Source organism: Homo sapiens, chromosome 1 (assembly GCF_000001405.40).
Source record: "Homo sapiens chromosome 1, GRCh38.p14 Primary Assembly".
Lineage (NCBI taxonomy): Eukaryota > Metazoa > Chordata > Mammalia > Primates > Hominidae > Homo > Homo sapiens.
This window is the reverse complement of record NC_000001.11, coordinates 231018177-231040260: the sequence shown is the minus strand read 5'-3', so window position 1 is coordinate 231040260 and position 22084 is coordinate 231018177. Positions and strand designations below refer to the sequence as shown.

General features: G+C 47.0%; 1 protein-coding gene, 1 non-coding gene and 1 pseudogene across 2 annotated transcripts, besides 3 other annotated features; 2 read left to right on the top strand and 1 right to left on the bottom strand.

The window, feature by feature from the left end:
* On the top strand, positions 7 to 21303 carry FAM89A (family with sequence similarity 89 member A). The gene is made up of 2 exons (NM_198552.3): positions 7 to 340; positions 20135 to 21303. The coding sequence occupies exons 1-2, from the start codon at positions 50 to 52 to the stop codon at positions 20396 to 20398; spliced, it is 555 nt and encodes a 184-aa protein (NP_940954.1). The 5' UTR covers positions 7 to 49; the 3' UTR covers positions 20399 to 21303.
* Positions 216 to 265: a silencer, noted in NCBI's record as "silent region_1947". NCBI's record gives its function as "represses an Ori minimal core promoter by ATAC-STARR-seq in GM12878 lymphoblastoid cells {active_cell/tissue: GM12878}" and the evidence as "EXISTENCE:reporter gene assay evidence [ECO:0000049][PMID:35858748]".
* Positions 648 to 1329: an enhancer, noted in NCBI's record as "H3K27ac-H3K4me1 hESC enhancer chr1:231174678-231175359 (GRCh37/hg19 assembly coordinates)". NCBI's record gives its function as "activates a minimal SCP1, AML or CMV promoter by ChIP-STARR-seq in naive H9 embryonic stem cells {active_cell/tissue: H9 hESC(naive)}" and the evidence as "EXISTENCE:reporter gene assay evidence [ECO:0000049][PMID:30033119]".
* Positions 906 to 985: a silencer, noted in NCBI's record as "silent region_1946". NCBI's record gives its function as "represses an Ori minimal core promoter by ATAC-STARR-seq in GM12878 lymphoblastoid cells {active_cell/tissue: GM12878}" and the evidence as "EXISTENCE:reporter gene assay evidence [ECO:0000049][PMID:35858748]".
* Positions 16056 to 18888, bottom strand: LOC644006 (ring finger protein 4 pseudogene; annotated as a pseudogene).
* MIR1182 (microRNA 1182) lies at positions 20337 to 20433 on the top strand. The gene has a single exon (NR_031593.1). It is a non-coding gene; the product is annotated as a microRNA 1182 (primary transcript).
* Positions 21304 to 22084: the final 781 nt, after the last annotated feature.

Below are 22084 nucleotides of genomic sequence, written 5' to 3'. Positions count from 1 at the left end.
AGCCTTGGTTCGCTGCAGCGGGGCAGGCGCGTGGCCGGGCCGCGGCGCGATGAGTGGGGCCCGGGCGGCGCCCGGGGCCGCGGGCAACGGCGCGGTCCGGGGGCTGCGGGTGGACGGGCTGCCCCCGCTGCCAAAGAGCTTGAGCGGGCTGCTGCACTCGGCGTCGGGCGGCGGCGCGTCTGGGGGCTGGCGGCACCTGGAGCGGCTGTACGCGCAGAAGTCGCGCATCCAGGACGAGCTGAGCCGCGGGGGCCCGGGCGGCGGCGGGGCCCGGGCGGCAGCGCTGCCCGCCAAGCCTCCCAACCTGGACGCCGCTCTGGCGCTGCTCCGCAAAGAGATGGTGAGTGGGGCTCCGCGAGCTGGGGCTCTTCCCGGCCGGGCTCGCCGTCCCGGGAAAGTTCGCGGGGACCGCGCTCTGTCCGGAAGTCCCCGCGCCCACCCGCCCTTTCGGGCTCCTCCGCCCCAGGCGCCGGCGCCGTCCTCCCAACGACCCCCATTTTTCTCGCGTGCTCCGTGCCCACGATTGGAACCCCCGCGGGAGAGCCCCGCGCGCAGAGGGCGGCTTTCTTATGCCCGGCGCCCTCAGTCCGGCCCCGCTGGCTCGGAAACCTGGGCGCCCGGAAGCGCTGTGCGGGGTTCGTGCCTGGCCTGGGGGCGGGGGCGGCCTTGTCACCTCTCCCCGAGTGAAACAGACCTTCCCGGTGGGGGAAAGGCTTTCACAGCGGCCCAACGGATTAACGCGATTGCGTTTTCCTACCACGAAGAGGACAACTTTTGTCCGCCGCCAGTGTAGACAGCAGATTGGAACAGCCCGGCCCCCTTTCCGGCGCCCCAGGCCGCGCGTCCGTGATCCGATTACCGCGGGATGGCCCCGGCGCACAGATGGCTGCGAAAGCAGACGCGCACCCCGGGCGAGGGAGGCGGCCGGGTCCCTCAGCCCCGCGAAGCTGATTGCCCAAACCCTCTTGAGAAAGGTGGGAGGTGGCTGTCCTCCCGGTCTGGGTGCTGTCCATGTGAGTTCTTCGCCTTGTGTCTAAGCTCCATACCATGGGCTCAGTGTTTCTCTGTGCTTGGGAAGTACATTAGCTGTTTGTGGACCAGAACACACATGATTTAGGGTGACGCTAAAAGTAGGACAAGGGCAGGGATTTAGGCAACAGCGAGTCTTTCCCCAGCTTTCTCGGCCAGGCGTAGGCCAGGCAAGAAGAAATCAAAAACTTTTCCTCTTTTCTACCATCTTACTGGCCCCCATCACCTCCTCCCAATCCCCTCGTTTTAAAAGCCTCCCTTTCCATTCACCTCGTCCAGGTTGTCTCCTTTCCCTATAGGTAAATTGTTAAGAAATCTAACATTAGGAAAGCTGCCTTTTCCCAAAACTAAATTTGCCAAAAAATAAATTGTTATAGGAATCTTTTAAATATGTATCTAGTGCATTTAAGATATTGTTTAGAAAAATTCAGGGTATGCATACTTTTTTTTCAGGAGCATTATCTGTTCTGAAAACTAAGACTTAATTGAATTCAGAAAGCAGCCTTAACACTTTTAATCAAAGAGATATTGTCTTCCTACTCTGTAGCTGGCATTGAAGTGATTTCCAATTCTCACTGAAAAGATTTTCTAAGCTTCTTACAGAACCACTTAAATTCCAAGCCAACCGTTTTTAATTTATTAAAAAACATTCATTGACATAAGCATCACACAGCTGGTGAACTGCATTTTAATTAGATAAATCTACACGTAGTGTGTTTACAGTCTGAACTTGGACATAGCAGAACCACGGGGGTGAAGTAGGAAGATCATCTTTGATTATTTAAATTCCATACTTGAGCAAGAGATAGAAAAACCTCGGGGCCGCTCCTGTTGTGAAGCTGTGGTTTATAAACATGCTCTGGAGTCTTGCTATGGTGGCTTGGGAGTCAACGTGCCATTCCCAGAAGTATTTTTCCAGGTCCCTCCTGGTGTGACTGAAGCACAACCACATCCGTATAATTACGCCTTGGACCAGAGCTCTCTGTAAGCCTATTTGAAGCACAAGAAAAATAAACAGCCATCTTTGGTCTGCCTGGTATTTAGCTGAGATAAAGATAAGATATGGCTGCAGGTTTTGACAAGTTCCTTTCAAGAAATGTCACAAGGCCTTTAAAGTTGCCCAGAGAATCTTTCGGCTTTTTAATTGATTTACTGACTTGGGGCCATGGGGTCTGAGTGGACAACTCAAGCTGAGACTCCCTCTGGGGAGGCCTTGCAAAACAAGAACTGGGAGTTCATTCCTGAGATATCTGCAAAATAGTTTGTGTTGATCTGTTTAAATTGAAGGCCTGACGTCAAATCTGTGGCAGGGGACATAACTAGATGTCATGGTAGAATGTGATAAATGCCTTAAAGAAATTTTTTTTTTTAAAGCAAGCATAGAAAGAGGGGCAACTTCTAATAGGGACAGGGAGCAGGGTGGTGTGGAAGACCTCAGAAGGCGACAGAATTTCGACAAGGGAAAGAGGCACCAGGAAGGTAGCTGCGGAGCTGGAACTGGGAGTGCGCCAGTTTGAAATGTGAGCAAGAAGGGCCTGGGCAGGTGGACCGAGTGGACTCTGAGAAGCCTGAGTAGCAAGGATGGGCATTCAGCAGGAGAATGGTATTATCCCAGTTGGACTTTGAAGAAATGAATTCTACAGCAGGGTGCAGAAGGGAGAGCTGGACTTTGGAGGCTCAACAGGAAGATGAGAGGTGTTCATGGGAGAGGTGATGGAGTCCCCAGCAGGGTAGGGGGCTTGCTAATGTGAAACAAGACTCATGTGGGAGACACTTTTCTGAAGCCGAAGCTGGAGGAATTACTGAGTCAAGGAAGATGATGAAAAGGGGATCAAAGATAACTTAAGCTTTTTCATGGAAAATGTAGCCAAGCAAAAAATTAAAAATTACAGTGCCAGCACCTAGAAATAATCACTTTTAGTATTTTGGGATATCTTCTGTTAGGTGCAATGTAAGTGCTTTCTATATAGTATCTTATTTAATGGTATAAATTCTCCATGAGATAGATACTCAAAGTCTGTTTTATATTAAAGAATTGGATGCTGAGAGTTGAACTCCCATAAGGTCACAGACCCTACCAGGTCTCTTTGGCTCCAAAGCCCTATTTAACCATTGCAGTCTGCTGTCTGTGCACATGCATGCACTCTCACACACACACACATACATATATACAACACATTGATCACATATATTTTGGTTTGCTTTTTGGGCTGCACATTGCAATTATTTTCCCAGTCAAGATATATTATAATGACTTCAGTGAGTGTGTAGTATACCACTGTATGGCAGTTAGCAAGGTTTTGAAGCTTAATAATCAATCACTGGTAAAGTGGGGTTCATTATGGCACTTGGGGAGTCAGGAGGAGTAGCTGCTTTAGGGAGGAAGGTAATTTGTCATCGCATCAGCTGAAGAGCATGTTAAACATTTCAGAATGTGGAGCTGGAAGCTGGAAGAGAGGTTTTGGTCTGGAGATAGCCAGTAGAAGAGATGGTTGGAGCTGAGGGAGTAATACCATCTCAATGGGAGGAGAGGCCATTCGGATGCCGAGGGTGGAGGCTGGGAGAGCTGGAGCCCAGGGCTGAGAAGGGTCTGTCTCATGACTGCTGATGCCCTCCTCTGCTTGGAGAGTTGTGGTTTCAGCTCCACGTTTCAACACTTCCTGTTCTAGTAACCCCTGTGAAATTCTGCACTACTCGTAAGTCCTCGTCCCCTCCCCAGAAGGGCCCACTTGGAAAGCTTCAAGGGTCACACAGATAGTTATTGCTCTACAGACCAAAAAAGTCCTTTTGAAAAAGTTGATGATGATGATTTTTACATCAGAGAATATCTTTAGATCACGTTTAAGAGATGATTACTGGGTGTATGTTAGATAGCAAGTACTGTGGATGGTTTAAGGGTGAATAGGAAATATCTAGATGTTAAGGGGCTTATCACACCTGGTAGATGTGGGCATCTTTACAGAAAAAGAATTGCTTTAGTTTAGACTAGTTTTCATTTTTCATGACCAAAGACTCTATATTAGTAATAGAAACTTAGTTTGAACTAGCTTTTTCAAAAGGACAATCTTATAGACTGGATGTATACAGAGACAGGCTAGAACTAGGGCTTATGGGGAATCCAGGAAGTCCACTGAGGTATTCTCTTCCCCTCCTCCTCTGTTTTGTTTTTTCCCTCCATTTTGGAACCTGGCCTCTAACAGTGGCCACCCTCAATTTTGGCCTTGCTGCTTAGTTGCAGTTTGCAAATACTGTGGAAGGATGCCAATTGGCCTAGCTTAGGTGGCCTGGCCAGCCTGGGCCAGCCAACAGTGACAAGGACAAGATTGTATTTTAATAAGATGGTGTGAGCATGTGGATGGAGTCGGACACTGGGGATTCTCTAAAGAAAGGACAGTTTGCAAAAATGGAGCAAGGGGTAAAGTAGTAGACATCTACTGCAGACCCCGTTCTATATAAAAATACTTTGCCCTCAAGGGTCCCACAATTTGAAAGATTTTTTATCTGCTAAGCTGATGGCTAGCTTGGCTAACTAGATCTTGGTTGGCCTTTAAAATATTTGCATGTGGTTGAAGGATGTCCCTGACTGGGTGTCAGCTGGGACCCCTGGCACACACCAGTCCTTGCATAGATTTTTACATAGACTGCCCTTCCCAGCACCCGTGCGAGGTTAGATCATCAACCTTACAGGTAACCAGAAGTCACACTAGAGTGTAGAGACACAAAGACCTTCAGCCCTGGGGGCAGGAGATCTTTGAGGAGCAGCATCCCTGGGGATTCTTGGGTTCAGCTGCTCCCACAGTCAGCAGCAAGGTCTAGTAGCTTTGATTTGGAATCTCTTCGCCTCATTTTTTTCTTTAAACTATCAGTTATTTTGGTCTCCCACCTGTGCAGAGTGGGAAGTCATCCACACAGAACTTTTGAATTCCCAAATTGCAATGTTGTGTAAAGAATTGAACCTAAGGAAAAAAAAAGTTGAATTTGTGAAACTAGTAACAATTAGCCTTCCTACATTTTAGTTGAAACAACTAAATGCCTAATGAGCTTGTCCAGTGAACTGGATTCCAGCTCATTAGCTGGAATAGCTGACACCCCAGTGGAGTACAGTCCTTATCCTTTATGTGAAACCAGTGTCTTACAGAGGAAGTTTTAGTCTTTAAGAGGCTGTGATTGAGTCAGGCTATGAAGTGCCATTTAGAATAAGGGGATTCGCTCCTAGTGCAGCATTCTTGATTGGCGTTGGTCAGAGGAGACTGGGGATGTCTAGCGGCCTTTAATACTGTCTGTTTTCACTAGTCTTTCCACTAGCATAGTCTAGCACAGCGATCCCCAAAGGATGGACCGCCAGCTCCAGAATCTCCTAGGCTGCTTGCCCAAATGCAGATTTTAGGGCCACATTCTGTGCTTCTGGAATCAGTAGCTGGGAGAAGGAATCTGCCTTTTTTTTTTTTTTTTTTTTTTTGAGACAGAGTTTCTATCTTGTTGCCCAGGCTGCAGTGCAGTGGCGCGATCTCGGCTCACTACAACCTCCACCTCCCGGGTTCAAGTGATTCTCCTGCCTCAGCCTCCTGAGTAGCTGGGATTACAGGCATGCGCCACCATGCCCGGCTCTTTTTGTATTTTTAGTAGAGATGGGGTTTCTCCATCTTGGTCAGGCTGGTCTCGAACTTCTGACCTCAGATGATCCGCCCGCTTCAGCCTCCCAGAGTGCTGGGATTACAGGCGTGAGCCACTGTGCTCAGCAGGAATCTGCATTTTTAACAAGCCGTTTAAGACTGGAGAAGCACATGAATCAAGGATCAAAAGCTCGAATTTGGTGTTAATAAACTATGTGATACAGTTCTGACAAGCCACTTCACTCTTTTGGGCTAAAATCTCTTATTGGGAAAATGAGAATTAAATGCCATAAAGGGTCCTTTTGGCCATGGCAGTATTCTTTACCCCTCATGCCTCTATGGTTCTTTCTGATGCCTACAGAAGAAGTTGGCTCTGTCATAACTTTTGGGCACACGTGCGGGGCCTGTCACCAAGCATATTGCTTGGGGTCCCCAAGGACACTTCACAGCTATACCTAGTTGCTGTGAATTCCTTGAATGCAAAGAATGGGAAGCAGAAAAGGAAGAAAGGTACAAGTTTGCTATTCTTGAGCTCAGTTCATCAAAAATTAGGCTGTCTACACCAGTTATTAAGATTTTCAGGCCACTGCTACCCTGTACTTGTCCCATCCCCATCCCAATGTCCACCCTATAAAAGCAAAAACTGAAAAAAGAATATATATTAGTTTGTGTGTATGAAAGCATGCCCATGTCTTTGGTGTGGGGTGGGGGACAGTAAGGGCAGTGTGTGGGTCATTGCCTGGCTTCATTCACTTGATGCTATCTCCAAGTGAGGTTAGAGTTCTTCTCCCGAGATTTGAAGATATAAAGGATTAAAAGTAAAAATACCACTTTAAACTTTGCTCTATTACTGTACCTACCTGCAAAGTACTATAAATTGATATTTTTCCTAACTCATAAATATCTTACAACCCTTCTCCTTTTTTTCCCTTTTGTTTAAAGGTAAGCATCTGTTCAATGTAAATGTAAAGGTGCCCCAATAATTGGCAGTGTGGGCACCTCTTCATTTGCAGATAGCCTCAAGTGAGCAATAGCCCTGGCATTTCTGTACCTTGCAGACAGCGGTGCCTCCCCTGCTCTGGGTCCTGGTCTCACCGACATGGCTGTAGCCCCCTGAGGCCAGGTGGGCAAGGATGTTTAGGGAGGGTTCAAGAAGGGAACCATGCCTGGCTTGCAGTTCACTCCCACCAAGCTGCAGATGGAAGTTTCGCAGTTTCGCTCTGGGAATGCCTGCAGGAACTCCATGGAGACTTTAGACCCCACTTTGAAAAACCAAGCTTTTCATAATGCTGTGGAGGAAACCAGACAGACCACAGACTCCATGCTCAGGAAGCGATCCCCCGAGGCTGGCTGCTCAGATATTTGCCCCCGTTGCCAGTGTCATTCTCCATATGGAGCCCTGGCCTCCTGGCCGCCTTGGCCTTTGCCCACGTGTTCCTAATGTTTGGAAGTGATGATTAGACAGGAGTCATAAAGGCTGCTCACTACTTCCTGTGGCTCGTTCCCCACAGACACTTAACACAGATGGTCACCCTCTCCCAGGAACTCTGGAGACAGAAAAACCTTTAGCCTACTTTAGAAGTCTACAGAAATTCATTAAGACATGTGGCCTTTCCCGTTTTTGTGGGCACTCTCTGTTCACTTCCTTGATTGGCCCCGACAGCCATGAGCTGGCCTAGTTTTGCAGGTGTGCGCTTTCTGAGTCTCAAGGATTCGGGAGGGAGGCACCATCTTTGACCAGTGGAGGGATCTGGGGAGAAGGGAGGGCCTCTGTCCTCTGCCCAGAGCTCCCTAGTCAGCGGGTAATTGTTGGGGAACCCCAGGCCTGTCCCAGCCAGGAGAGCCTAGGCTGAGGAAGAAGGTGACTGAGATGCAGGTGAAAGCGAGTGTATTCTTAGGTGGGTGATTTGGTTAACCTAAATGGATTAATAAAGTTTCTCAGCTTTAATTTCTAATAAGGTAAATATTGACAGGTATAGCTCACATAAACAAAAGCTCTTTGGGACTCTCAATTGCAATTAAAATTGGATATAAAATATCCAAATTAAATGCTGCTAAAAGAGAAGTGGCAAGGTGTTTAACATTCCTTATAACCACGGATGTATACATTAAGACAATAAGGTATCATGTTGTACCTCCAAGACTGACAAAGGTAGAAAAGCATGATCCTGTCACAGTGAGGGTTTGGAGAAGTAAACCTTCTCATGCATTGCTGGGGGTGGGGGGTGGGGGCTGGCGGGGGCGGGGTGGGGTGGGGCGGTGTAAAGTGCTGCAGGGTTTTTTGAGCGCAGTTTGGTAATACCTCTGAAATTGAATATGTGCCTGTCTTTTGACCTTGTAATTGCATTTTTTAAAAACTCTGAAATGGCTTTCTATTAAATAGCAAAGCAGAATTGCAATATAATTTTAAAATATGTTTAAGTTAGGTCACAAAAGGGATGTAAAATGTTTGCAGTATGACTGTTAAATCTTCATACAGCTAAAGCCAATTATTGACTCTTTCTTATACCAATACAGACATAAAATTATTTTGTGATGAAAAGTAGTCCAAATTGAATCACTTTATTGGTAAACGTCTTTCTTCCCATTACATTTTCCCATTGCTTTGGACTTGAGGCCCGGGGTTGGGGAGGATTGGAAAGGCGCCTTGGGCATTCTTCTCTCCTTGTCCTCCTTGTCCCCCACAATTTCATATTCACAAGTGTACCTTACAGAAGCATCCACACAAGTGGATAATGGCACTTATACATGGATGTGTATTGCAGGATTTTTTATAATAGTGATAGAATACTGTACAATTGTTGAAAAGAATATGGTAACTATATATGTATATAGAAAGATGTTCACAGTGTAAAGTTACAAAACAGTACTTACCTAACTTTGTGTATGTGGTAACAGTAGAGAAAAAACAATATGAGTGTGCATAGTGCTTTGAGGAATATATGCTAAACTACTACAAGTGGATATCTGAAGAACCACAGTTTCAAAGTGTGGTCTGGGGACCTCTAGGGGCCCCTGAGATTCTTTCAGAGGGTCCATAATTATATGATGGTGATATTGACAAATGTGACTTTTTGGTTATTATATAAGAAAATGTACCAACATTTGGAAGATCCTGCATAATTTATTGAATCAATTTTCCACTTTTTTCATATGACTGTGCTTGATATTAAAAGATCCATTCAAAGTGCAAGACTGATGGGTTTTAATGTAATAGAGTGTGAACATTTCATTGGTATAGTTCCAAATTCCACACTAAACAGCAGTCAACTAAAGGGCGGTAGCAAAGAGGAATATCCACAATTGTCTGAAAAGGCTATTGAAATACTCCTTCATTTCCCAGTTATACAGCTGTATGAGGCCAGATTTTCTTCATTTACTTCAACCAAAACAGCACGTCACAAAGGACCAAATGCAGAACCAGATAAGCCAGATATTTAAAAAGATTTATGAAAATGTTATTTGTGTTAGCATGTAATAGGTTTATTATTATTATTATTATTATTATTGAGACAGAGTCTCACTCTGTTGCCCAGGCTGGAGTGCAATGGCAAGATCTTGGCTCACTGTGGTCTCTGCCTCCCAGGGTCAGGTGATCCTCCCACCTCAGCCACCCAAGTAGCTGGGGCCACAGGCAAATGCCACCACACCCAGCTGATTTTTATATTTTTTGTGGAGATAGAGTTTTGCCATGTTGTCCAGGCTGGTCTCGAACTCTCAGGCTCAAGTGCTCCACCTGTCTTGTCCTCCCACAGTGCTGGAATTACAGGTGTAAGTCACCTCACCTGGTTGGTGACTTTTAAATTTTCTCAGTTTTAATTTCTAGTAATGTAAATATTGATAGGTATAACCCACATAAACCAAAGCTCTTTGGGACCTTCAATAATTTTTTAGAGTGTTTGGAGACCAAAACATTTGAAGTCTGCTATTTTATAACAGGGAATTAAGGAGAACTGGTTTGTATGATTACGAACCATTTGAATTTATAATACAATTAGAGTGTTTATTTTTATAATCAGAAAAAAAATAAAAGAATGTACAAAGACATTTCTTAAAGAAAATGGTCAATTGCTTTTCTTCATCTATATCCAGGACAGAACAAGAGGAAATGGGCTTAGTTTGTATGAATGTTAGTTTAGGTTAGAGATAAACAAGAATGTCCTTCTGAGAATTGTTAAATTGCAGAACAGTCTCTGTGTCAGTGTGGATGCCCTCACTTGTAAGTTAGCAGAAAATCCAATTCAAACAGCTTTACCTGGTAGAGGAGTTTCCTGGAAAGTATAGAGGTGGGATGTGCTTTGGGTTTAATGGGGGTTAATCTGGGGGCACAGTCATGCAACCCGGTTTATCTTCTGTCTCTGAATCCTGATGGCGCTTTAGAGTCTAGTCCTCAGCTTGGCAGGTCTAAAATATTAACAGGAGATGAAGCTGACCAGATGACACGAATATGTTTCCGCCCATGGGAGGAGAAGGCTACATAGGAGACCAGGTCATCAGAAGCCGTTTAGTGAGCACAGAGCTGGAACCCACCAGGGAGCTGAGAGTCCTTCAAGGGTGTTTCTGTCAAGCTTGGGTAGCTGGGCTCATAGCCCGTCTCCAACTGCATCAACACTGATGAAGTCTCTCTTCGGCTTTTTCTAAACACTATGCAGGGCAGCATCCTTCAGTCAACATATCTTTTATCAGAAATCAGGTTATAATCGATTGGATCTCTGCTTTCTTCAATTACAGTCCAGGCCTGTGGATATAAACTAGACACTGTGATTAGATTTGGGGCATTTACCAAGTCTTTAAAATAAATTTGTGAGCCATCTGTATATACTTACTCATTCATTGTGTTTTTAAAAGATAACTGTGAAAGTTTTCTCATTGTTAATACATTTTCACAATAGAAAACTTAGAAAATTCAGAAAAGCCAGGAATAAAAATGGCCTGTGATCCAAGCAGGTTGCTATACCACTGCTGAGACTGGGGCCTCTCTCTTCATCTTCCCTGTACAGGCAGTGCAGGGTGATTGTCAAAGCACCCATTTCAGAGTCCTGCAGATCTGGTCACCTCCCCACTCTGCCACTGACTAGATGGCCTTAGGCAAGGGCCTTTGTCATTCTTTTTTTTTTTCTTTTTTTTGAGACAGGGTCTTGCTCTGTTGCCCAGATTGGAGTGCAGTGGTGCGATCACAGCGCACTGCAGCCTCAACCTCCTGGGCTCAAGTGAACCTCCCACCTCAGCCTCCCAAGTAGCTGGGACCACAGGCACGTACCACCACACCCAGCCAATTTTTAAAATATTTTTGTAGAAATGAGGGTCTCGTCATCTTGCCCAGGCTGGCCTGGAACTCCTGGGCTCAAGCAGATCCTCCTGCCTCAGCCTCCCAAAGTGCTGGGATTACAGGCGTGAGCCTGTAATCTGCAAATGGCAGTTTTTTAATTTCTAAAAAAATCTTAACATTTTTCATGATGTTTTGGTTTAAATCAACACAAATTTCCTTTTAAAGGTTCCTCTCATCTTTTAAGCCTTGTTTCCTAGTGGTCATATTTCTATTGTCCTTGCTTTAAGTTAGGAAGAACTCTCTCCCCCATGCAGCCTCCAGAGATACTCAGAGACTTTCAGTGACTTAACACCCAGCTGGGAGCCACCGCCCTGTCTGGAGTGTATTTGTATGTGGAGCCTACTGTTTTGAAAATCCCAAGTGAAAGGAAGCAGTTTCAAGGGTGGTTTGGGCTTGTTTGGCCCCATTGTTGGGAATGCTGTGGCTCTCGGGGCCACCTGTGTGTGTTGCGGGAGGGGTGGAGGGGAGCTCTGGGCATGGGAGAAGAGGAGTGAATGATCAGGAAGGAAGCAGGAAGCCTGAGCAGAGAGCGGAAGGACCTGCGCTCGCAGTTTACGGCCATGGAAGCTGCTGATTGTTCTTGAATTTAAAGTGGAGAATAAGGGACCACAAATTGCAGGGTTTGAGCATTCCATGTTTTTCTTAAATGAGCCTGTCTGCATTTTCAAAACGTGTGCTTTCAAAAGAGAGCTGTATTTTCTGAATCCAGCTGTGAATGTGGAGACCAGCCGTCCTCCAAGGGCATGCGAGAACACACCGTTGAGATCCAGGCTGCTTCTGCTCGGAGAGTGGCTTGCTCGGCGGCTCCCCAGCCACTCTTTTTCTGGAAGGGTGAGAAGTTCTTGTTCATGGTGACTTAACCATGTCTTGCAATCAAGTCCTTTTGGATGGTTGCTCTCTCCCCTTCCTGCATCCAAGACCCACATACCTTCAGTGTAGAGAGACTGACCACCAGATCTGCCCTCTAAAGAGCGCTCCTGGAGGAAACTTGGTTGGGTGTCTTTGGCCCTTGATGTGATGGGAGGCACGCGGGGACTCAGTGGTCTGATGCTTCCCACAGGGACACCTTGTGTACAGGGCACTCGGCGGCTGCCCGTTCAGTCTGCACCTCTGTGACTGCCCGAGGGATGCAGCCAGAGGGTCTGTGGGTGCCAGCACCACCCCACTGCCAGGCCACTTCTGCGGCTACGTGTTCTCTGGGAGGGTGAGATCTCTGCAGCCAGGCGTTTTCACTGATTCACCAAATATCTGCCTGTCTGCTCTGAGTTTCTGGGCTGGGTGCTGAGAGATCCAAAAGGGAAATGGTGTTTGCCTTCATGGAGCTTGTCCTGTGTCAGGAGAGAGAAGACCTGTGTGCACACCGATAATATAGAGAGTAGTAAATGTCCTAAGACAGGTGGAGACGCCGAGGGCAAAGGATGAACACTGGCTGAACCAATCACAGTCTGAAGAGTGGAGGGAATCAGGTACAGGGCGGGTGGTCGAGGAGCATTCACAGATGCAGTGGGGATGAGGGTGTCATGGGGGACAGTCGGGGCTGTGCAGGTTGGGAGTCAAGGGCGTAAGCCTGAAGAACAGTCAGACCAGATGGTGGAGTGCTGCCTACGGATCTTCCACCTCCCTCTAGAAAATGTTAAGTGTCGCTGTTTAAACAGCCACAGCTGAGGAAGAGGGGCCCGGGCTAGGAAGTCTGGTTTACTGTGCAGTGACTTACCTTATGTCCTCCGAGCTGATTTAGAGGATTTCTGGTAAATCAGGAAGTTTAGTCTGGTGCCTGAAGACAGTGGCATTGAGAGGCTGGGAGGTGTGTAGGCGTGTGTGTGCGTGTGCATATGTATGTGTGTGCGTCTAATCCTTGTTAAATCCGTCTGAACTTTTGCCATGTGTCGGGTTGTGTAATAGGTGTGTGCGGGGCTGCGCTGTATTCCTAGGCGGTCAGGATTCCTTTCTAGGCCAGTGTTCCACCTGACGACAAGGCAGCTTTGTGAGTCATCTGGGTGCTACAGTGCAGAAGTGTCCAGGGAGAGATCCTCTTTGCTTTCGACTCCCTGCCGGGTGCATCACCTCGGTGGGCCTGGGAATACCTTGGAAATGGCACTGTCAGGAGAAAAGCCTGGAGCCACGTGTCTGGCTGGAATGGGGTCATGGGGAGTCAGAGCCTTTGAAACCTAGAAGCGTTCAGGCTCCTGTGTTTACCTGGGCCGACCTCAAACCATCCCAGGAAGGAGAAAAGCAGACCTGCTCTGATACCAGGGTGCCCACTGCTACTTAGGTGTTTTTCCATTATTCATTCCTGGGGTAAGAAATCGAGTCTTGGGTTTACCCACCCTACTGGTGTCAGAGGGACTCAGCAGGAGAGTAGATCTAGGATTCCAGATGATCTTCTTCCATGGTTTTTGAGCACATACTATGTGACCCCGAGAGAGTGTGGCTTTCTCGATTAAAGTTATTATTTCTTTTATGAAATCCTAGCAAAGATAGGGACGTCAGAGCTGGCCGAGTCAGACTCCTGGGGGCATGTTGATGGCATCCAGATGCAATTCTGCAGAGGAATCCTGGAAAACAGGAGTAAGTCTAGAGGAAAGGCCACGGGTGTTAGTGGACGAGAGGTCATAATGAAAATAGGGGAAGGGCCTGAGATATTTAGCTTGGAGAGAAGAACACAGGTTTGGTTTTTGTTTTAGGGCATGGGGTGGTGGAAAGTAAATGACCTTCAGATTAAAGGGTAGTAGTTAGGAGAGAGTTAAATTAGATCTGTTTGGATGCTCAGCTGTCACACCCAGCATCAAGGGCTCTGTGGGGCCTCCAGGCTGGGAGGCTTTGACTTTGTATAAAATAATCGTATTGGTTTGGAGAGGAGTGCAGTGGTTTGGAAGGTCCTCCTTTTGGGGTTTGAGGTAAGATATCCCAAGTCTTTTCCTATTTGAGAGTTTCCCTTCCTCATGAGGCAGTGTCACTGGCACGTTGTCACCCTGCCTGACTATGCTGGCTGTCTTCTGAGCGAAGGTGACCATCTGGTTCCTTCTCATGTACCACCTCAGTGCTGGATTGGGAGAGGAGCGGGAGGAACACAGTGGGATGGGGCGCTTCTGTTTTCAGAGCCTGGCTGTACCTGCTGCTCCTTCCTGAGGTGAGTCTGCCCACTAGCAGAGTGGAAAAGAAACCATGGAAATACTAACAATGAGAATAGAGGCTATTGATTTTTTTTTTTTTTTTTTAGGAGCTGAGCAATTTATCCACAGTTTCTCAGCTGGTGAGTGGCGGAGCCAAGATCTGAACCCAGGCAGGGAGGTAGGCAGGTTCCAGAGCCTGCACTTTTAATTCTGTGCTCTTCTGCTTGGCTGGCCTGAAATTCCAGGCTTACAGGATAATAAATATAAGTGGCCCAGGAAAATCAGAAAGATATTTGTGTCAAGATCACTGGTTCTTTGCTGGAACTGAGCATCAGCATCATCTGGGTACTTTTTGTATTATTTATTTATTTTTTCAATAGAAAATTCCTAAACTGACTGACTTTTCTTTCCCTCCTTCTCTCCCTTCCTTCCTTTCTTCCTTCTTTCTTTCCCTGTCTCTCCTTTTTTTAATAGAAAATTCCCAAACTATGGATAATTTTTAAAACACAAATGCCAGATATGCTGTTTCCCTCCCTCTTGACAGACACACATCCTTTCGAACTCTAATCAAGAAAAAGAGCAAGCAGTGGTGTCTGCCTTAGGGTGTGGTGGCCTGGGCATCTCTTAAGTTGCCCATTGCTTGCCTATTCAAGGTATGCTTTTGAGATGCCATTGAATAAAGTTTGCTCCTGAGTACAGTACTGGAAACTGTCTGTCTTTCGCTTGCAGTTCATTTAGGACAGAGAAGCAACAGTTTATATAGGGTCACAAAGTGTTTGAGCTAACCATAGATGAGCGAGCCCAAATCCCCCATTTTATAGGCTGGCAGAGGGTCGGGACCTCAACCAAGCCACAGAGGACGGCAAAGCTGGGCCTGGAGACCACGCTCCCGACCTGCAGCTGAGGTCTCTTCCTAAGAAAGTTTAGAAATTCTGGTGTCAAGGGTAGTTGTGGTGGCCGGGCACGGTGGCTCACGCCTGTAATCCCAGCACTCTGGGAGGCCGAGGCGGGTGGATCACAAGGTCAGAAGATCAAGACCATCCTGGCTAACACGGTGAAACCCCGTCTCTACTAAAAATACAAAAAATTAGCCGGACGTAGTGGCGAGCGCCTGTAGTCCCAGCTACTCGGGAGGCTGAGGCAGGAGAATGGGGTGAACCCAGGAGGCAGAGCTTGCAGTGAGCCGAGATTACACCACTACACTCCAGCCTGGGCAACAGAGCAAGACTCTGTCTCAAAAAAAAAAAAAAAAAAAAAAAAAAGAGTAGTTGTGGTAGCAACAGAACCCACCTCTCTATCTGGAAGTCTTCTTGAGTGTCTTAGCAAAAGATGCTCTGTAGGCTGGGCACAGTGGCTCACACCTGTAATACCAGCACTTTGGGAGGCCAAGGCAAATCACTTGAGCCCAGGAGTTTGAGACCAGCCTGGGCAAGATGGCAAGGCCCCATCTCTACAAAGAATTTCTTTAAAAAATTAGCCAGGCATGGTGGTATGCACCTGTAGTCCCAGCAGCATGGGAGGTTGAGGCAGGAGGATCCCTTGAGCCCAGGAGCTTGAGGTGGCAGTGAGCTATGATCATACCACCACACTCCTGCCTGGGTGACAAAGCAAGACTCCATCTCTAAATGTGTGTGTGTGTGTGTGTGTGTGTGTGTGCATGCAATGTAATAAAACATAGTTCTGATTTTTATGGTCTATTCAGGCCATAGTAGAGAGACAGCCAGTGTTCACTTGGCAATTTAGAAAAGTTGGAGGGTATGAAGAGTAAACCTGGAATTTAACACCCAATCTATTTACAAGATGATCACTTTTTACCAGGCCTCAGCTTCCTTTTGTGAAAGCCATACTATCTTATGTGGAAAATCTTATTGCTAGGTAAACGAGTCATTTCGGTAATTATAAAATCTGTAAATCCTCTGACACTTTCTGTGTGCTTTTCTACATGCGCGTACCCATGCATCTTTTTTTTTTTTTGGTTCAAATTAATGGTTTTATTTCCATCTTTAACACTAGCAGAGGAGTCCAAAGCAGACTGATATCCATGGATGTAGTTTAAATGTAACAAAGAAAGAGTTGAACTATGTACATTGAAAAAAGGAAAGACATTTTTTCATACCAACCTTTCCCTAGTTTGCAGTTTCTGAATAGTAGAAACAAAACACATTTTTAAATCTTTTTATCAATTTAATTTAGGACGAAGTACACAACTTTTATAATTAACCACTGAAGTTGTCTTCAAGGATAAAACTTAAAGAAATTTTAAAATGGGTGTTACCATATTTTATTAGTGGACTGACTCCAAGGTTGCCTTGCTCCAAGTCTGGGCATTGTGACATTCCCGTGATGCCCAGAAGAAAGTTAATGGCAATGATGTCCAGTCAGGGGGCAGACACGCTACACATCACAATGATGGGAGCTGAGGATTCTGCCCTCTTCAACTCCAAGTAGAAAATTATTATTTTCATTCAAACTAACTGGAAGTGAGCCAAACAGTTAAAAAGTCAGAATGAAGAATAAAACAATTTTCTTTTCACATAGAGGAGGGACACTCCTTCAGCCCCGTCTAAAGTGAATTCTGTGCTGAGTCCCTTCTCCTTCAGAAGGGTAAACTGAAGGTCAGTTATTGCTAACAAAGCCAGAAGTGGCCCCTTTCCCACCCTGAAGATGTTTCACACGAAAAGGCTGTTTGTTTTGCTTGAAGCCCTCTGAGGAAGGAGGGCAGCGGAAGAGGAGGCATGCCGGCACTGTAAGGCCTCTCTCGTTAGCCACCGCCAGGCCCTGTGCTGTCAGGGGCAGCTTGGGCCACTTTGCTGCCCCTGAGCGAACCTGAGGCTCCCACCTACCTGTGGAGTGAAGGAGAGGTTGTCCTCTGGGCCCCTGTTTCACCAGTCATAACCTATGGAGCAGTCAAAGGCCCAAAGCATCCAAGCCCAGTGGGCTTCTGAAATAAACGGCACGGGGTTGGGAAGGATGAGAAAGCCAAGTCAGGTGGGCCAGGTTCTCCGAACATGGGGCAACAGTGACCTGGGCAAAAGGCTGGAACTGAGCGGCTGATAAGGCCACAATTACTGCCACCACCTCTCAGTATCTACACGGGGGGCAGATGTTAGGCAGTGGGAACTGAGGACTGGAGGGCGTGTGGCAAACACCGGATGGATTTTATCAGAAAAGAGAGGACACCCAAACATGTGCCTGTCCTATTTATCTTGCATGTCCTGTGCCAGGTGAAGGACGCTGGAGCATGGGTAAGGTTCCTGAGAACAACTGGTGGGCAGAAATGGGCTGGGATGGGCACTGCTCCACAGGCAACATTAAGCCTCTGAGGGGGACACTAATAGTGCTACATCTGGTGGGCTGCTGAAAAGTAGGTAACGAATGGCCTTTATTGCACTTTTTCATTCTTAGGAAACGGGATTGCCCTGCAGAGCTTCTCTTGATTTGCAGAAATCACTGCAGATCAATGATAAGGTGCAGGCAGAATCACGGGTGACCTCTGACTCTCAAGGGAAGAAGTCCAGTGATTGGTCTTTTCAGGGCCTCAAGGGGCCACTCTTGCACCTGGGATCCTCGAGCTGGGTGAACCGGGTCTGGCTTGGTCAATGTGTGGCAGGCAGATTGGTCGACCGGCAGACACTTGGGACAAAAGGTGGTGTGCCCGGGAAAGCTGGGGCAAACTTTCCAAACGGAAAATTTCTTGGCAAATGTGCAGGTTCTGCAACCAGACTGGAACCACGATTCCCAGTGTGCCTGACTCCCTTTCTCTCACTCTAGAACTGGACCACCCCAGAGGAACAGAGATGGCCTGGGAGGGCCCTGGGTCCAGCGCCATAGCATCAAACTGGAGATAACAAAAGGAAGGGGTTGGAAACAAAAGAGCAGTTTACATATCAGACGTGGGTTTCAAAACAGTCTTTTTGAGCTCAGGAAAATGGAGGCAGATACCACTGGAGAACCTGATTGTCCATCCGTCTCTCCTGGGCGTCTCTGAATACTTCATATATGAATGGAGTGGTACTGTTTGTGGTTGATCTTTTTCCTACAAGTTGGGCAAGTATTAGCGTTCTTCAGGGAATCACGGAGGCACTGGCTACAGAAGACATGGCCACATTCTGTGGAAACGATGAGACGTCTATTCTGCACGATCTCTGAATATCTGTCCATGCAGATAGGACAACCGACAGTACCCGAGGGCCTGAGGCCTATAGCGCCCTCATCCCTGGTGTTTCTGGAAGTGTGGGTAGTCACATACACGTCTCTGTCCCTGGACAACAACTCATCGTCACTGCTCACCATGCAGCTGTCAGCATGGTCCTGGGGCAGCCTCCTAGCATTCCTCCTTGGTCTTCTTCTTTTGTCAACAATCACAACAGAGTCATTGTGAGTCAGATCAACCACCACAGGCTCTAAAGATTCACAAGTGAGGTCAACAATTTCATCTCCAGCAGTTTCCACGAGTTCTATGGGTTCTGCTTCCAAGGAAATCTCAGGGGTGGAGGTTGCTTCCCGTGTTCGCTTCTGGGCTTGTCTAGAATTTATTGCTCCACCTCGACGCTTTCTTGTACTCATTGTGCTCTTTGGTGCCTTTCGTTTCCTAACAGAAAAGGAAGTGATCTATACCAAGGTTTGCAGGGAAGTCGAATGTTCTCAACCTTTCGTGCCCTCTGGTTAATCATCTGGCTTGCAAAAGAATTTGGATCGGGACAGATTTCCAGTATTTTAAAGTCCTGGAGCTAGTTAGGTCTGCAGGCGCTGCCACCGGCGCACTCCAGAGAAGAAGCTCCTTCTCCAGCCGCCCAGGAGAGCTGTACCCATGCATCTTTAGTGCTTTAGCCCGGGAGGCATTAGAATCCTGTTTATTGAGTGGATTGATATTGAATTGCCCTAATAGCTCCATAAGAGAAATTATTGTTCCATTTTGCCATCAACCAAGGCACGGAGATGAAGGTGATAAATACCTTGCTCAGGGGCCAAGAAGCCGAAGGCAGGTCCCCTGGTGTCTTCTTGAGTTTCTTCCCGTTGCCATTCAGAGCAGGGTCTGTGGAACAGCAGCATAGCACGGAATCACCATAGGGGCTTGGTGGAAGCACAGCCATCCAGTGGCCCCAGACCCACTGAATCAGAGTCTGCTTGTTGAACAAGATCCCCGGGTGGTTCTCATGCACTTTAAAGGTTAAGAGGCACCGATGCTGGTCTATGCTGCATTTCCAAGAGGCTTAACTGTTCTCTCTTTGGTATTGGTGTAAACGATGCATTTCCTGTTCTGACTGTGACCGTGCTCTTTTCTCTGGGATGGGTGGTGGGGGAGGGAGGAACTGGAAGATAAACAAGTATATGACTTTTATAAATGTTCTGTGTTCTTTTGCTGCTTGTTTTTGTGGGGCTAGTTTTCAGGAGGAACTGTAGAGCCCTTCATCTTCCAGGGCTTCCTCATATTCAGTCAGTTACTCTGGGGAGGGATCCCAGAACCATCTGGGATAAGACTGACCCTGCCTGGAGGAGAGGGAGGCAGTGTAACCTCTGACCACTGAACTGCACAGAGGTGGGTGCTCCAGGGGGATGTCACGTTGGCCAGCTGCTGTCACTGGCAAAGGGCATTCTGTTGCCCCTGGGAGTTGAGAATGACTGCATCAGTCAGATCCTAACGCAGTAGCAGGGAAGGCCAATGTGGGTCTTCTCCGAGTCTGATTGGGAGAGGAAGTGACACACTCGTTTCTTGGCGTCCAAAGTGAAAGCAGGTGGGGCCACTAGAATATGCAGTGCTGTTGCTTCATCAGGCACACTCAGGAGCGCCAGGGTAAATTCTGCAGGCTGCCCTGGTTGCCCCACAGATGCGATCCTCACTGGACTCAATGAGTAACGTCTGAGGTATGGGCATAACACAATTAAGGTGTTCTCAAAACTGGAAATCCAAAGCATCCGAGTGATGCTCTGAATCATGCGCCGTGTGGAAGGAATGTGCTGGCAGGCGCAGATCGCCGGCTGAGTGTTCCACTGAAATTAAACTCAAGTGCTGACTTCTCGTTTTTTACCTCCCCACCCCTTCCCTCAAGGTTGGTCTCCGCCAGCTGGACATGTCCTTGCTCTGCCAACTGTACAGCCTCTACGAGTCGATTCAGGAGTACAAGGGGGCATGCCAGGCAGCCTCCAGCCCAGACTGCACTTACGCTCTGGAGAACGGCTTCTTCGATGAAGAGGAGGAATATTTCCAGGAGCAGAACTCCCTGCACGACAGGAGGGACCGAGGCCCTCCTCGGGACTTGTCACTGCCTGTCTCCTCCCTCTCCAGCAGCGACTGGATTCTGGAGTCCATCTAGAGGGTCTTGGGAGGGATGTGACTGTTGGGAAGCCCTTCCTACTGGACACGCTGTCATCATTTGCTGCTTCTCTTGCAAGAAAGCACCTCCGTTGTGGACGGTCCTCGGGCACAGGGGATGAGCGCTACCAGTTTCATTTGTAGGCAGGGAGTTCTCCGCGGATGCATGGTGGCAGTCTGCTTTGATGGCAGCAGTTTCTGCTTAGGTGACCTAGAGGTCCTCAGCAGTATCCTCCACACCTATTTATTGAGGTGCACCTGCTGGGGATTCATAATGAGAATATAACAAGAGGATCTCGGTGAAAGGCCTTAGTGGGTGTTTTGTGTGAGGTGGCTTGTAGCTAGCTACTTCCTTACAGATGGTAGAGTATTCCAATCCTCTTTGTGTTAGGGTTCTTGCTTCCAGTTTGGGATGTATTAAAACCACCATTTCACTGCTTCCCTTCCTCAATATGCTCTGCAGCTTTTCTTGCTGTTTAAACCTCTCGCCTCAGCTTTATTTATTTGTAAGCTGCATTACTAACTGCCCAGTGATTCGGTGAAAGCTTTTTACTGAAAAAGTTAACATTTCTAGTCATCCCAATCAACTGGCTTTTTTCAACCAAAATTTTATATCATTCTTTGTCTATCAGATACGAGAGGAAGGAAGATAATACGAAGACATGTTGAATAGTGAAAAAAAAAAAAAGAACACAAAAACTGGGGCAAGCCAATGTGATGTATCACTCACTGTAAGATGGCAAATGTTTTCATTTTTAAGATTCCGAATGTAAACTAGTGTGCTAGAAAGCAAACCACCCGCCACTCAAACCAGTAATTACCTTAAGCCTTAATATATTTATTAAAATACTTTATGAGAACATTACACTTTGTAGGTTAAAAATGAGGATAAAATGCTAAACTATCTGTGTCATGTGTTATTTTATTCTGAATTTGGAATCATCAACTTTCATGACTTGAATGCATTGAGTCCAGTCAAATAATGAAAGAAAATTAGTTTGTTTTTCTGCCACTAAATGCATTTGAAACAAGATTGACTCTGTTGAGCTTAAGGAATCGTTTTAGCAAGAGTAGATCACCATTTACAGCTGGTTCTCAGTGCTCTTTTTTTTCTTTGAGACGGAGTCTAGCTCTGCTGCCTAGGCTGGAGTGCAGTGGCACGATCTTGGCTCCCTGCAACCTCTGCCTCTCTGGGTTTAAGCAATTCTCCCACCTCAGCCTTCCGAGTAGCTGGGATTACAGGCGCCTGCCACCACGCCCAGCTGATTTTTGTATTTTTAATGGAGATGGGGTTTCACTGTGTTGTCCTAGCTGGTCTTGAACTCCTGACCTCGTGATCCACCCGCCTCGGCCTCCCAAAGTGCTGGGATTACAAGTGTGAGCCACCATGCCTGGCTGCTCTTCTGTCTTTGAATGCTGCAGACTCCTTCATCTTTCTTTTGGTGTGATAATTGCTCACTAGAGCGTCCTTCAGGTTAGGGAGAGGAAGGCACCTCAATGTCATGCATCGCCAAGTGTTAACCTGTCAAGTACACCCTGGGTCAGGAACTGGGGTGAGATACAGAGAAGGAGGAATACGCCTGCTTATTTCCTCTGTTGAAAGGAGTTAAAATGAGAGGTGGCAATTAATTGCCTTCAGCACATAACTGGTCAGTGGGGACAAGAAAATTAAAAGCAGTTAAGACCA

Coding starts and splice junctions, on each gene's coding strand:
- FAM89A (NM_198552.3), top strand. CDS start 50: ATGAGTGGGGCCCGGGCGGCGCCCGGGGCCGCGGGCAACGGCGCGGTC. Junction 341..20,134: donor CGCTGCTCCGCAAAGAGATG/GTGAGTGGGGCT, acceptor CCTTCCCTCAAG/GTTGGTCTCCGCCAGCTGGA.